The sequence below is a fragment of the Homo sapiens genome, chromosome 1 (genome assembly GCF_000001405.40).
Source record: "Homo sapiens chromosome 1, GRCh38.p14 Primary Assembly".
Classification (NCBI taxonomy): Eukaryota; Metazoa; Chordata; class Mammalia; order Primates; family Hominidae; genus Homo; species Homo sapiens.
The window spans coordinates 116,528,675-116,544,694 of record NC_000001.11 but is presented as its reverse complement, the minus strand read 5'-3'; the positions used below and the strand labels follow the sequence as shown (position 1 = coordinate 116,544,694).

The window sequence follows — 16,020 nt, the reverse complement described above, 5'->3', positions numbered from 1 at the left end:
TTGTCAGCTTAGCACAAAAAGTACCTGATGAATAATTTCTGCCACCAAAGTCATGTTGTTTTTTCTAACCAATTTTTTTTTCTCTCCTAGGTTTCATCAGCTGTTTTTCCCAACAAATATATGGTGTTGTGTATGGGAATGTAACTTTCCATGTACCAAGCAATGTGCCTTTAAAAGAGGTCCTATGGAAAAAACAAAAGGATAAAGTTGCAGAACTGGAAAATTCTGAATTCAGAGCTTTCTCATCTTTTAAAAATAGGGTTTATTTAGACACTGTGTCAGGTAGCCTCACTATCTACAACTTAACATCATCAGATGAAGATGAGTATGAAATGGAATCGCCAAATATTACTGATACCATGAAGTTCTTTCTTTATGTGCTTGGTGAGTATTCCATAAGTTGATTTGTTTAAAATGGCAAATTTCCATTTTTTTAGTCTGTTTTCAGAGACTAGCACAAATTAATGGTCTATGAGAAAAGAATTAGATGTTACCTGTTGTCAGGGTTTTCTCCTTTTCTGGTATAGAGGAGCTAGCTACTTTCAATTCCTTTGTCATTCCTCTGGGTGAGGAGAGAATCTAACCAAGGTGGGGAGAACAGTATCAGTTGTCTTACTAGGAATGTTTTGGAAAGAGATGTAGTGACAGCAGTTAGCTTAGAACTCTTTGGGCTCCACTGATAGATGTTACTCTATAAAGTTCCTGCTTCCCCACACAGCGGGGAGATTGTTTTTCCTCCTGCACCATTTTATTTAATTAATTTATTTATTTTGAGAAGGAGTCTCACTCTGTTACCAAGGCCAGAGTGCAGTGGCACAATCTTGGCTGACTGCAACCTCTGCCTCCCAGGTTCAAAGTGATTTTACTGTCTCAGCCTCCCAAGTAGCTGGGACTACAGGCCCGCACCACCATGCCCAGCTAATTTTTGTATTTTAGTAGAGATGGTGTTTCACTGTGTTGGCCAGGCTGGTCTCAAACTCCTGAGCTCAGGTGATCCACCCGCCTCAGCCTCCCAAAGTGCTGGGATTACACTCATGAGCCACCACACCCAGCTCCTGCACCATTTTAAACTGAAACTAGAGAGAGGGGACACATTTCTCCCTGCTTCTCACTGACACTCCTCCCTGGTCTCTAAAGCCCCTTTTGTGTTGCAGTCTTGTATAGGCCCCTGCCTCACATGCCAGTGTTTCTTGGTCATTTTAAGGCCTGCCTCATTTTCATTGTTTCTGACATTCCTGGTGTCTTGGTGGTTGCAATATTTAAATTAAAATTCTTTCAATATTGTCCTTGATCGCCTCTCCTGTAAGGATCTTTTCCTCTACGTTACCCACTACCCATGGATGTAACCGAGAACTCATCATTACCTCAATGTCAGGTGTCTCACTCTGACCACCATGCCCTGTCCTTGATGATGCTGATGCTGACAGTCCTTCACACACCTGATGTCCCTGCTGCCCTCCCTACTCAGCCTGAGTGCTGTTGTCACTCACTAGACTCAGTCCGTTGCAGACACACTTAGCTTCCTTGCTCCTTTGCTGGCTTGTCATACTCGCATGGCCAGATTACAGCTAGATTAAGTCCGCTGCTTTGCCTATTCTGTGCTCACACCCATGTGGTTGCAGAAAAATACACCACCCTACAAAGTCCTGCACTTTTAATTTCTCTAATCACTTACCTCAATTAAGTTGGTATTTCCTAGCCTGTTCACTTACCCACTCTCCTAGCAGTTACTTTTTCTCTCCTCAAATCTTGAATACCTCCTTCTCTAGACTGACTCTTCAGCTGAAGGCTTTGCTTCTTATTTCACTAAGGAGAATAAGCAATCAGAGGGCAATTTCCACAAGCTCTCACCACCTGCCTACCTTCCTACCCATACCTGAGCCTGTAGGCCCTGCTTTCTCTCCTGATATGAATGGACTTTCTGAGTTCTCACCTGAAGTTAAACTTTCCACGTGTGCCCTGGATCCCACCTCCTCTTGCCGTCCTCGGGAATATCACCCTAGTGCTTCTACCCACTCTCTCCTGATGAGAATTTCCCCCATAAGTTGATGGTTCATTTTAAGTGGCATACATATATACTGTCATTAAAACTTTCTCATGATCCCTGTACCCCTCCAGCCACCACCACCTGCTGTCTTCACTTTATAGAAAATCTCCTTGAAGAAGTTGTCCATATTCACTTATTCTGATCCCTTATATTCACTTTTAACCCACTCCAAATAGGCTTTCATCTGCACTGCTATGCCAAAACTCCTCTAGACCTCCTTGTTAATAAATCCAGTGGTTCATTCTCAGTCCATGTCATTCTTGACTTCTCAGCAGCTTTTGACATAGCTGATCACTCCCTCCTCCAAGTACTGTCTTCACTTGACATCCAGGATACCACCCTATTCATGTTTCTTTCTCTTTTTTCCTTGAGAGGGGGTTTCGCCCTTGTTGCCCAGGCTGGAATGCAATGGCGCGATCTCAGCTCACTGCAACCTATGCCTCCCGGGTTCAAGTGAATCTTCTGCCTCAGCCTCCTGAACAGTTGAGATTACAGGCATGCACCACCATGCCTGGCTAATTTTGTATTTTTAGTAGAGATGGGGTTTCACCATGTTGGTCAGGCTGGTCTTGAACTCCTGACCTCAGGTGATCCACCTGCCTTGGCCTCCCAAAGTGTTGGGATTACAGGTGTGAGCCACTGTGCCTGGCTTCACATTTCTTTCTAACACACTGACTATTCCTTTTCAGCTTCTTTTGCTAGTTTCCTTGTTTCCCCAACCTCTTAACACTGGAAACATCAAGGCTTAAGCCTTAGGTCTCTTTCCTTTTCTGTCTGCGTTCATAGCCAGTGGGTGAGCTCATCCCATGTCAGGGCTTTAAATATCATCTCAATGCTAATAATGTACAGATCTAGAGCTCTAGCCCAGAGTACCCCGCCGAGCTCCTTATGTGTATACCTGACTGCCCAGTGTACCTCTCCAGTCAGACATCTAATTGGCCTTTCAAATATCACAAGTCCAAAAGTAAGCTCATTATCTTCCCCTTAAAACCTGCTGCTCCTCCCCAAATCTTTTCCCTTTTGGTTAATGGCAGCCCCATCCTTTCAGCTGGTCAGTCTGAAACCGGGATGTCATCCTTGATACCTCTCTTTTTCTTGAATACCACATTCACTCTACCAGGAAGTTGTATTGGTTCTACCAGAATGATCTTTTTAAAACAGAAGTCAGATCATGTCACTCATCTGTGTGGAACTTTCTAATGGCCCCATCTAACTCTGTTAAAGCTAAAATGTGTAAAGCGACTTGCAAGGCTATGTGAGGTCTGACCCCTGTGGACTCTATTTAGACAAATACAGCTTGCTAAGATGTCAAAGTATCCTCTTAGAAGATTTCCTTGAAAAAGTAGAATCTTTGAAACATGGACATTGGGGATCTGATAATTTATAGATAGGGCCAACAAACAAGAGGATTGAGTCAGAATTTAGATCACACATTTTAAGAGCCCTTTTTATAGAGTTTGTAAAACTAATTCAAAACATTTGAATAAATTTCTCCTCTTAAACTTGATGAACTGTTTTAAAATAATTTAAAATATTCTAGGCCGGGCATTGTGGCTCAAGGCTATAATCCCAGCACTTTGTGAGGCTGAGGAGGGAGGGTTGCTTAAGCCCAGTAGTTCAAGACCATCCTAGGCAACATAGCAAGACTCCATCTCTACAAAAATAAAATAATTAACCAGGCATGGTGGTGCATGCCTGTAGTCCCAGCTACTCAAGAGGCTGAGGTGGGAGGATCCCTTGAGCCCAGGAGGCTGAGGCTGCAGTGAGCCATGATTGCACCTCTGCACTCCAGTCTGGGTGACAGACCAAGACCCTGCCTCAAAATAACTAGCTAAATAAATTAATTAAATAAAATATTCTATGGCACCTCAGCAAAGGTATGGTTTTGTTAGTCAGACCAACTGGATAGACCTTAGGAAGCCTGCAGAGGAGTAAAGTACAGGGGAGGTGAGTTTTGATCAGGAGGCAGTGATATTGATAGTATTGAGTGTGGGACTTAAAGTCCTGGTTTGAGAGTCTGGACATCAGCTTGTAGCAGTGGGGAGCCATTGTGTCCTATACTGGAGCAAGGAAGTGACTTGATAAAATACATTTTTGGAAGATTAATGTGATGGTGCATACTTATGATGGATTAAAGAGAGGAGATGTCAAGTTAGAAGCTACTATCATCCAGGTAGATAGAGGGTCCAAGAAAGAGTCTGCAAGATGTAGGTTTTGGTTGTAAAAAGACATAAGATGACTCTAGGTTTCACATCTGCATGATAAAATGATTGGTCATACTATTTTTTTTTTTTTTTAAGAAAAGAGGAAGTCATACTTCCTTGAGGTAATGTTAACACTTGTTTTAGTAACCTGGTAATCTTCTAGAGACACCAGACCTAATAGGAGACTTCCAGTGAGCATATTTTGGACAGGGGGATTTCCTGGCACTTCCTAAATTCAGGGCATCCACTTCCTTCTGTGTGTACATTGAGATCTGGCTTTCCTCCATACCCAAAAGTCCCCTTAAAATTTCTACTTCTGAGGTTTATTAGTCCTTTCCCATCTTTTTATGGACCTTCATCACATCTCAGATGATGATTTTTATGTAAGTAGAATTAACTGCCCTGTCCTTAACTGGGCTGGATTGATACTTGACCTTTACTAAAATTCGTGAAAATATACACATATTTCTATAAAATGTCATCAGATATGTGTAAGAAATTCTCATTTTTTACACAGCAGTGAACTCAATTCATTAATTATAAATTGACTAATTGTCTTAGGGAGGAAGTAGGCACATTTCTTGCCAGTTTAATGCTGCTTAAAGTAGAGGTATAACGAATATTTGTTAGATACAGCTGTGGTAAGTCCCACGGGCAGCAAGAAAATATGAAAGATTTATAGAAGGAAAAGATCTGAGGTGTAGAAACTGTGATCTAGGTGCTGCAGAAAGGCTTGCACACTTTTAGATGAGTTGGATAGGCACTTCTACCTTTGCCATCTGGCAACTGTTGTGTAATGAGATAGCCAGAAAGAGCTTCTACCTAGTCAAGGGAGTTCTAGCAACTTAGAAGATAATACTAACACTTCTTCATGTTTCCCCTGAAATTACTTTCATATTCTGTTTTTTTTCTTTTCTTTTCTTTTCTTTTCTTTTTTACAAACCCTGCATGTGGCACTCAGTCATATTCTGTTTGACCTTTACAGTGACCTGATACAGCATTCCCTTTCACAGATGAAAATAAGACAGTTTAGGAGTCCGTTTCTCTGTAAGTAGAACAAGAGACCTGGATGGATGCTTTCTTAAAACTCTTCCAGCTCCTAAAAGGACTGTGGCCCCAGGTCACACAGCAGGCCAAGGCTAAGGCTTGATCAAACCTCCCAACTCCTACTCAGTGACTCTTCTCATCATATCACATACCCTCCGGGGAGCCTCGGCTTCCTGGAGTTGGAAACTCACAGCCAATGGCCGTGTGCTCTATTACAGCTAGCATTTGTTAAGTACTTACTCTGTGCAGGCACTACATGTTAATTCATATGTTGATTATTATCTGTGTTAACTCATTTAATCTCATTACAGTCTGATAGAGTAAGTACTATTTGTGTCCTTATTGTAGAGAGGAGGAAACCTAGACACAAGGTGATTTAAGTAACTTGCCCAATGTCAAATGGCTCTTAGTCATGAAGCTGGGATATGCACTCAGGCAGCTGGGCTTCTGAGTCCATGCTAAACACCATACTGTACCTCTTTGGAGATAGCGGGTAGAAGAATTTACATTTTATTTGAAGACTGTCTCTCTGAATCTATCCTTCTATCCATCTGTCTCCCCATCTGTCCTGTACTGCTTGTGAGGAGCCATCTGTGTGCCTTGCATTATGTCATGTGCTGTGGTTGAAAGGTGAGTCATACCTAGTCTTTGCCCTCCAAAGATACACAGTCTCTGGGGCTGATGATGCACCTCTGTTCAGTTCAGAAAGTGCTGGATGAAAGACTAGACATTGGCAGAGCTAGATCAATACATTAGAATCTGCAACAGAACAAACAGGCCACATACATCAGAAGCACCTGGGATGGTGGGGCTCAGGAATCTGTATTTTTAACAAGCACCCTTGGTGATTCTTAGGCACCTTAAAATTTGAGAAATGCTTCAAAGGACCATTTCTAAGGAGGTAGAAAGCTTGGTTTTCTGCCCCTGAGAAATGCCCAGCCTAGTTACAGAGGCAGGCATAAGTATATGAAATACTGAGAACAGGCATTTTTGAACTATTCTGGGGATGCATGTTCCTTGGAAGTCCCCTGAGGGCTGCTATGGGGTGGGGTGGGCAAAAGGGACCAGAGGAAGTTAGGAGAGCAGGGCTCTAGGCTTTCAATTTTGAGTCAACTAGAGCAACTTCTTATCCATTGGATTGGATTGCCACTGAAGATTTAATTCTGAGAAATTCCACTGCTTAAAAGATGATTAAAAGTCTTTTTAATTAAAGAAAATCTTAAGGAAGTATGTAAGGACTTGTGTGAGCTAGATTAAACTTAAAAACTAGGAAGCCCCAAGTAGAAAGGGAAGTCAGTGTGTGACTCTGGTTTCTACCAAGGCAGGCTGGGTACTTTATTTAACTGAGCGAGAAGGAATTCAGGAGGAGGAGAAGATGGGGGAACCATTAAATGCTTTTATTTTTCAGATTATAATTGGAGCATAAGCATTAACTTGTCTTAGAAAACATCATTTTAAATGACAACATAGTATTCCATTATCTTGGTGAACCTAAATTTACTTAAATGCTCTTTTTAGTAGACGTTTATAATGTATCAATACTTTATTATCCCAGTGCTACCATGACCATTGTTGTATATTACATATGTTTTTGCATGTTTCCTCAGGCCTCTTATGATTAATTGCTGGAGGGTAGCTGAGACGCAAGAAGGCATATGAATTAACAAATAAATGACTCATAGGACAAAGTAATTAGCCTTGAGGCTTTTAAAGGGCAACAATGGCAGAATGTGACATGTTAGTGTCTTAACTCATCCTTGTAGGTCCATGCTGCCTTAGCCAATAGGAGGCACTTCCTAGAAGAAGGGTGGGAGTGAGGCCTCTGGACAGGCAGGTCTGTGACACATGCTGCTCCCTGCACTGCCTATTAACAGGTCCAGCCCAACCAATAGGCAGGGCCCGACAAGGCTCTGTGTAGCTCCACCTTTCACAAAATGTATTGAGTCAGATGTATTATGGACTTTCCTTTCACAAAATGCTTTGAGTCAGACGTGTTATGGAATTAAAATTTTTTTTTACATTTTGGAAAGGTAATACAAAGTATTTCCTCTGCATATTAAGCACCCCACTTAATTATGGGGAGCACCCTATGGGTCAAGCATAGGAACAAGTATTTACTTCATTCCTATATATTTAAAGACAAGGTCTCAGTCTGATGCAATCATAGCCCACTGTGTGTAGTGAGCTAGAGTGCACTGGCACAATTATAACTCACTGTAGCTTCAGATTCCTTGGTTCAAGCAGTTGCAAGTAGCTGAGACTACAGGCAGGAGCCATCATGGCTGGCTAATCTTTAAACTTTTTATAAAGACAGGGTCTTGCTATGTTGCCCAGGCTGGTCTTGAACTCCTGGCCTCAAGCCATCCTCCTGCCTCAGCCTCCCAAAGTGCTGGGAGTATAGCCATGAGCCACTGTGTCCTGCCAAGCACAGGAATATTTTTGTGGTGAAACGATAATGAATATTTGAAGTGAGTGAGAAAGACTCAAATCCTTGTGTTAATTCAGGTCAGGTCAGGATTTGCAGCTAAACGATTTTGCTACCAACTTGCGAAGACTCTTTTGGCTTCAGAGATTTTTTGATTTAAGAATTGAGGATAAGGGATTTGGGGCCTGTATTGGTCTGTTTTCACACTGCTATAAAGAACTACCTGAAACTGGGTAATTTATAAAGAAAAGAGGTTTAATTGACTCACAGTTCCACATGGCTGGGGAGGCCTCGGGAAACTTACAATCATGGCAGAAGGCGAAGGAGAAGCAAGCACTTTTTTCACAAGGCAGCAGGAGAGAGAGAGAACTGCCACACACTTTTAAACCAACAGATGTCATGAGAACTCACTCTCTATCACTAGAATAGCATGGGGAAACCATCCCCCATGGTACAATCACCTCCCACCAGGTCCCTCTCTCGACACATGGGAATTACAATTCAAGATGAGATTTGGGTGAGGACCCAGAGCCAAACCATATCAGGGTCTGAATTTATTCTGTTAAATTTGAACAGGTAGATCTGACCTAGCAAAAGAAAGAATTCTCGCTCCTTGATGCTCAAGGAGTTTGTCTGCTCATCCTTTCAAGCTTGTAAGGAGGTTGCGAGCTCTTCATAAATTTGCAGATGATAAGTCTAAATATTACTATTTTCTGTACTAAATATTATACTTTTTTTTCCAGAGTCTCTTCCATCTCCCACACTAACTTGTGCATTGACTAATGGAAGCATTGAAGTCCAATGCATGATACCAGAGCATTACAACAGCCATCGAGGACTTATAATGTACTCATGGGATTGTCCTATGGAGCAATGTAAACGTAACTCAACCAGTATATATTTTAAGATGGAAAATGATCTTCCACAAAAAATACAGTGTACTCTTAGCAATCCATTATTTAATACAACATCATCAATCATTTTGACAACCTGTATCCCAAGCAGCGGTGAGTAAATAACTAAATGTGTCATGGAGGCTTTCAGACCACAGATGTGGTGACTAACACAAGGTTCACAATTTTGAAATGTAAAACAAGTTACAATTTTTTTTTTTTTTTTTTTTTTTTTTTTGAGACAGAGTCTCGCTCTGTCGCCCAGGCTGGAGTGCAGTGGCGCGATCTCGGCTCACTGCAAGCTCCGCCTCCTGGGTTCACGCCATTCTCCTGCCTCAGCCTCCCGAGTAGCTGGGACTACAGGCGCCCGCCACCACGCCCGGCTAATTTTTTGTATTTTTAGTAGAGACGGGGTTTCACCGTGTTAGCCAGGATGGTCTCGATCTCCTGACCTCGTGATCCGCCCGCCTCGGCCTCCCAAAGTGCTGGGATTACAGGCGTGAGCCACCGCGCCCGGCCAACAAGTTACAATTTTTAACAGAAACCCCATTATAGATACAAAGCTAACATTATTTAGCACTTTCTGTGTTGAGCACCATTCTAATACATATGTTAATTAATTCAATCTTCACATCAATCCTCATACAACCTATAAGTTGTGTACTAGTACTTATCCCTGTTTCCTGGTGAGAAACCAACAGAGAGAGAGTTTAAGTTGTTTGCTCAAGGTAACAGCTAGTAAGTGGCAGAACCTGGCTTTGAGTAGAGGCTATCTGGCTCTAGAGCCCATGGTTTTAACTATTCACAATGCTGCTTTATAATATTGTTATAATATCATTATGTTCTGAAAGGTTACATATCTACTACAGGAACATGCATTTGATATGTTTCCTTAGGCCTAACACTAAGTTAATATCATGACAATCTGTCTTGGCTATGATTTTCTAATGTTGTTTTAGTATTATTTACATTTGTAATTTTTATTATCTGTTTTTTACATTATATCCCCAGTTTAACAAACAAAAAGGTCAGTGACTTGAAAGTGGTTTATTAAAATATAAAAGAGACGAAAATAGTAAATACTATTATTCAGAATAATATAATTGTAAATAGTGAACAGGATTCCAGGGCAAATAGAGAATATGAGTCTCTAGGGCTGGGATAAGGTGAGTCTATGAATGAAATTTTTCTGAACAAGCAGCTGAAACAGATAAGGGAAATTAGCAAATACAAGAAATATATGAAACTTGGATTTTAACTGGTGAGCCATTCTAAGTCTCCCATTTATTGTCTTTTCTGAACCCTTTCAAACAATAACTTAAAGCCATTAAAGTTATATTATTTTCAGACAAAGCAGAGTCACTTTTGGGAAAGGAAAGACATTTTTCAAGAAAAAGTAGACGTCCTCGTCAGGGTGGGCAGCGCCGCCGCGGCGGGCCTGGGGCTTGGGGCCTGGAGCGGCCCCTCCCAGCACCCGGTGCGCCCCTGCCCTGCCGCCCACTGCCCTGAAGGTCAAGTCGCTTTGTTCTGCGCTGCGGGCGGCTTCCTCGCCGGCGGCCCAGCGGAGGAGGCGTAGAGGGCGGCGAGTGGGGGCTGGCAGCTCAAATCTCCCGCTAGCCCAGCCAGCCCCGCGTACCCGGAGGGCCGCGGCGCACCCGGAGGAGCATTCAGGCTTCCCGTTTTTAAGGTGGAGACGTCCAGGACCTCTTTATTAGATGTTTAGGAATTTGAGTTTTTCCGTAGGGCGATGGTCATCGTGAGCATCTGTGGGGTCAGGCTGGGCTAACTGGGGTTTTGATTGTAAGTTTCGTGTGGACGAGGGCATGTCTGATGGGGAAGAAAGTCCTTGGCATTGCATCTCAGCTGTTGGGAGCTGTGCGGTGCGAGCCAGATGGGCGGCGTGTGCTCCCCGAGGACTGGCCTGAGTGCCTTAGCCTAGTTACTCACGGGACTTGGTTTACCAGACAAGGGGATAAAAACATTCAGATGGCAGATAACAGTTTTTCAGATGGGGTTCCTTCAGATTTCGTGGAAGCTGCTAAAAATGCAAGTAAGACGGAAAAGCTCACGGATCAGGTGATGCAGAATCCTGGAGTTTTGGCAGCTTTACAGGAGCGACTTGACAATGCCCCTCACACCCCTTCCAGCTACATCGAAACTTTACCTAAAGCAGTAAAAAGAAGAATTAATGCATTGAAACAAATTCAGGTGAGATGCGCTCATATAGAAGCCAAGTTCTATGAAGAAGTTCATGACTTGGAAAGAAAATATGCAGCATTATACCAGCCTCTCTTTGACGAGAGAAGAGAATTTATCACCGGTGATGTTGAACCAACATCTGATATGGAATCAGAATGGCACCGTGAAAATGAAGAGGAGGAGAAATTGGCTGGAGACAGGAAAAATAAAGTAGTCATAACAGAAAAAGCAGCAGCAACAGCTGAAGAGCCAAATCCCAAAGGAATTCCAGAGTTCTGGTTTACCATCTTTAGAAATGTAGATATGCTAAGTGAATTAGTCCAGGAATATGATGAACCAATCTTGAAATACCTGCAGGATATTAAAGTGAAGTTTTCTGACCCTGGACAGCCTATGTCTTTCATATTAAGAGTTCCACTTTCAACCCAATGACTGCTTTGCCAACTCAGTCCTGACAAAAACCTGCAAGATGAAATCAGAACCAGATAAGGCTGATCCCTTTTCATTTGCAGGTCCTGAGATCATGGACTGCGATGGGTGTACTATTGACTGGAAGAAAGGAAAGAATGTTACTGTCAAAACCATCAAGAAAAAGCAGAAGCGTAAGGGTCCAGGCACTGTTAGAACAATTACCAAACAAGTATCCAATGAGTCATTTTTCAACTTCTTCAATCCACTGAAAGCATCTGGGGACGGAGAATCACTGGATAAAGATTCTGAATTCGTATTAGCCTCTGATTTTGAAATTGGACACTTTTTCCGTGAGCGGACCACAGGCTGTGCTGTACTTCGCTGGGGAGGCCTTAAAGGATGATGACAATTTTGACGAAGGTGAAGAAGAAGAGGACGAATTAGAAGGTGATGAGGAGGGAGAAGATGAGGATGAGGTGGAAATTAATCCCAACAAGGAACCCAGCCAGCCGGCGGAATGCAAGCAGCAGTAGGAAGTGGAGGTGGGCGCCTGGCAGACCGGCTGTCGCGACTCCGGGCCTGTAGCGGGAGGCCTCAGTCTTTGCCGCATGCGGCACAATCCCGTCGACAGCGCTTACTCCATCTAATCGTTTTCAAGTGCATGATTTTCACTTTCACTTTTCCTTTTTCCTTATTATTTTGCTTAATGTGTACAGTGGCAACTGAAATGCATTTCAGAAATAGGAGGTTTTGTCCAATACCCTCTGCAGCCTTGGTGCCTGTAGCTCTGGACTTGCCTGGACCCTTCCCTGCGGGAGGGCCCCATAGACCCCATTGGGGTGGGGTGGGATGGGGTGGGGATCACTTGGCTAAAAGGGCCGAGGTCTGGTGATGAGGTTCCAGGGATCTAGAACCTCTCCTACCACTCCTGCAGTTGGACTGAATTCTTTCCTTTCATTTGAAGAAACCCACTCGCTGTTTTCAGCTGCTTAATCTGCTGAGTGTGCAGCCTGCATCACCTGCTGTATGCTAATCATCTCAGAAGGGCCGTGTAGAGTAGGGCCGTATTCTCCTTAGGATGTTGCTTTTTGATCTTCTTTTTTAAGGGTTGGGTCAGGGTTGTGGCACACCAGCTCAGGCGAGAGCTGCCACGGGTCACCTCATATTTATTTATCCCTTCTTGCCTGTGAGGACTGCGGCCTTTTGCTGTCGCTCGTCCTTGCCATTTCTGAACCACCCTGGTGACCTGAGCAGGAAGATGTGCCACTTCCTAGCAGGAGCAAGGGCTGTGCGGAAGAAACACTGCTTCCTGCCACCAGGGCTGAAGACGCGAGCCTGTCCTCGTGACACAGGCACCGCCCTGCTGCCGGAGTTGGGATTCGGCAGTGTTCTCCAGTGAGGGGCTGGGCTGGGAAGTCCTGCGTTTCATTTGAGCATATGAGCGTCAAGTCCTGCTTTCTCAGTAGTCCCATTGCTGGGCCCCACCATTCATCCTGTCTGAAGGTCCTGGTTGGTGTGACCGGTTGGTGGCTGGTGAGTGGGGTTTCCAAGTGGGTGACAGCGCTCTGTGGCAGCCGGGGATGGCCTTGTCCGCGCTGACCAGGCCTGTAGAGAGTGCTCAGCCTAACCTTAGAACACATTTATAACTGAATACAGTGTTTTCAATTTGTACATAATAGTTAGAATATTCTATTAAAGTTATGAAACACGGAGAAAAAAAAGAAAAAGTGCAAATGAGTCCCAATTTATAACTGATAGATTTGATTTTTGAAGACAGAGAAAAGATCAAACCCACAGAGGTGTCACTCAAAGGAGCACTGTTTGTACAAGTCACACAATTGCAAGAAGTTTTTAAAACGAGCTGCAAAGTTAAAATAGTTAAGCTTGGAGCAAACATTCCTTTATTAATTCCACCTTTTGAGTGTTACATAATACCCAAGGCATACGATATGGAAATGCAATTTGTTGTAAAAGCAGATAGTTGCTTTATAATGGGAACAACAAAAAATAAAACCAGTGTGCTTTTGCCTTTTGGTATATGTGTGCTGCATCTAACTGACAAGGGGGAAGAAGATGACCACATATAGACAGAGCAAGCAAGTTGAAATCTTGAAAAGTTTTAAGTGTTCCAAGAGACAAAATACTTGAAGGAAATAATTTCTGAGTAAGATCCCTCTATAGAATTACATGGAATATTTTAGGGGATTTTTAAAGGTTTTGCCCTTGCAAAACTTTATGTTTAACTTTATGTTTGCCATTAGAATTTGAAGACACAAAGTAAAATTACTCTTACTGAAAGTAAGATTACTTTCCCTGTAAATAGTCTGGTAAAAGATCATAAGAGGAATGATATTCCTCTTATTGATTTGAAATAAGTACTATTAATTTGAAAAAATTCTTTTAATTATTAAATAATGGTGATTTATCCTTCTTTTACATTTTCTTCCAAATTGATAGTTCACATATATACAACAGATTTTGAAAGTTTGAGGAATGTTGCTTGATAGGTCTTAGGTTTAAATCCTGGAGTAGTGTTGACATCTGAGACATATGTCTGGGCTTCTGACCCTGGTTTCTGTTAACCAAATATTGGAGGACCTTCTCCTTTTAAAATGCAAACCAGGAGCTGAACTTAATGATCTTAATGGTTCTTTTGAACAGTAACAGTCTAGGATCTTTTTTTTTCTGAGATGATTTTTGAATGCTTTTGTGTGGAACCACATGCATCATAATAGATACAAATCCATGAAAGTATAACAGTTAAATACTAGATCTTACTTTTTCAGGTTTTGATTTCTCATCTAAACTTTCCAATGCTTTATCAGTGAAGCAAACTAACTCACATTGACTAGCCTGCTCTCCTTTAGCAAACCCTTCAAATAAATGCCTCATTTGCTCCTCACCACTATCATTTTAGATTGGCCAGACAGTTGTTACTTACCTTTTAAGAATGAGGAGACAGGTAGCCGGGTGCGGTGGCTCACACCTGTAATCCCAACACTTTGGGAGGCTGAGGCGGGTGGATCACGAGGTCAGGAGATCAAGACCATCCTGGCTAACACGGTGAAACCCCGTCTGTACTAAAAATACAAAAAATTAGTCAGGTGTGTTGGTGGGCACCTGTAGTCCCAGCTACTTGGGAGGCTGAGGCAGGAGAATGGCATGAACCCGGGAGGCGGAGCTGGCAGTGAGCTGAGACCACACCACTGCACTCCAGCCTGGGTGACAGAGTGAGATTCCGTCTCAAAAAAAAAAAAAAGAATGAGGAGACAGGGTCAACCAGGTGGGGTGACTTGCCCAGGGTCACTTAAGTATTGGAGATAGAATTAAAATTTAGGTCTTTGAATTCCAGAGTGTTTTTGTATGATACCATCCTGACTCTCTATACGTTTCAAAATAAATCAAATTTTAAAGTTTTCTTTGATTTATTCATATGAATGAGCTAGAGAAACCCATACTATATAGATATACATAGTAGATATTGGTCAAATGTAACTTAATTTTTTACCTCATTATCTCATGTTTCTTGTAACATTTTGTCTAGTAGGACCTTTTTGTGGTTTGTCATCATTTTAGTCATGACATCTACTGTCATACCGTCACTGCAACCCAGAAATGGGGCGATGGGGTTACTAACTAGTTAAACACAATCTAAAGGAGAATTTTAGAGACAGTTAAGATTGAGGACAGAGTTCTTGTCCAACTCGTATTGTACTGGGGGAATGAACTAATACTTACTGAAGGCCTGCTCCACAACAAACTCCTGTAAATGATTTACATAAATGTGTCACATTTAATCCACACAACAACCCAGTGGTGTGGGTATTTATAAAGGAGGAATCTGAGGCACAGTGAGGTTAAATAACTTGACCAAATATACACATTTATTAAGAGCAAAGCCAGGATTTGACATCCAACTCCATCTGAACTCAAAGCACTGTGTCTTCCCCACTGTACTGGGAAGTAAAAGTAAGAAGATGACTCAGAGATGGAGAATTATAATCTGGAATTTGGAATTTACTTCCATTGGTTAACCGTTTGAAAATTGCAGCTCCAAGGCATTGGGAGATGGAAAGAAAGCTAGTGAGCAATTATTTCTTGCCTTTGTGTCATGCTCCTACATTTTGCTCCTCCTTATCTCCTTATCTGCGGTCAGAGTAGATAGCATGGAGGTTTTATGCCCATGCTACAGATGTTCAGAGATCTCAAGGTCAGAAAGCTGGTTTATGGCAGCACGTGAATATAGACAGACTTATACAGATTAGAAAATTGAGAAGTTGAGGGCAGGAGAAAATTCTGGATAGAAGAGAACATGGGATTGGGAGCAAGAAAACCTAGGTCCTAGACCTGATTTCATTGCTTACTGGCAGTGTGAATGTGGGGGATAATAATACTTACTTTACAAGGGCTGAGGAAATTAAATAAAATAGCATGTGGGAAAGAGTATTGATGGTTAGTCACTATAAAACTGCTAGTTGTTATTCAGGATACAGGAAGAGTTTCAAGAGAGGACATTTGGTATAACATTATATACAGCCAATGGTTTAAGGAGGACAATGTAGAAGAGGTTGTGGATTTGGCACTTAGGAGGTCATTGTTGACAGACCTTGTGAATAGATGAGGGTAGGAACCAGATTCCTGGGCTTTAAGTAAGAAGAGGGGTAGTCCAATAGGCCAGTTATATATTTGGCTGTGAAAGAGGAAAATAAAATCTGAGTACCTTTGAGAGTCAAAGGCTATTTCCAGGTAAAGAAACCCAGTGCACTTCACCATTCTCTTTTAGATAACTGCTGG

The 16,020-nt window shown here is 42.4% G+C and overlaps 1 protein-coding gene and 1 pseudogene across 3 annotated transcripts in view, besides 1 other annotated feature; both read left to right on the top strand.

The window, feature by feature from the left end:
• The window catches only part of CD58 (CD58 molecule), a 56,493-nt gene that overhangs the window by 26,332 nt on the left and 14,141 nt on the right, over positions 1 to 16,020 (top strand). For all 3 annotated transcript variants that reach the window (NR_026665.2, NM_001779.3, NM_001144822.2), the window contains exons 2-3: positions 91 to 384; positions 8,467 to 8,730. Coding sequence is in view for 2 of the 3 variants with exons in the window: in NM_001779.3 (NP_001770.1) it covers positions 91 to 384; positions 8,467 to 8,730 (558 nt within the window). In the remaining variant the exon portion in view is untranslated. The remainder of the gene's footprint in view (positions 1 to 90; positions 385 to 8,466; positions 8,731 to 16,020) is intronic.
• Positions 6,040 to 6,109: an enhancer, noted in NCBI's record as "active region_1565". NCBI's record gives its function as "activates an Ori minimal core promoter by ATAC-STARR-seq in GM12878 lymphoblastoid cells {active_cell/tissue: GM12878}" and the evidence as "EXISTENCE:reporter gene assay evidence [ECO:0000049][PMID:35858748]".
• On the top strand, positions 10,584 to 12,934 carry NAP1L4P1 (nucleosome assembly protein 1 like 4 pseudogene 1; annotated as a pseudogene).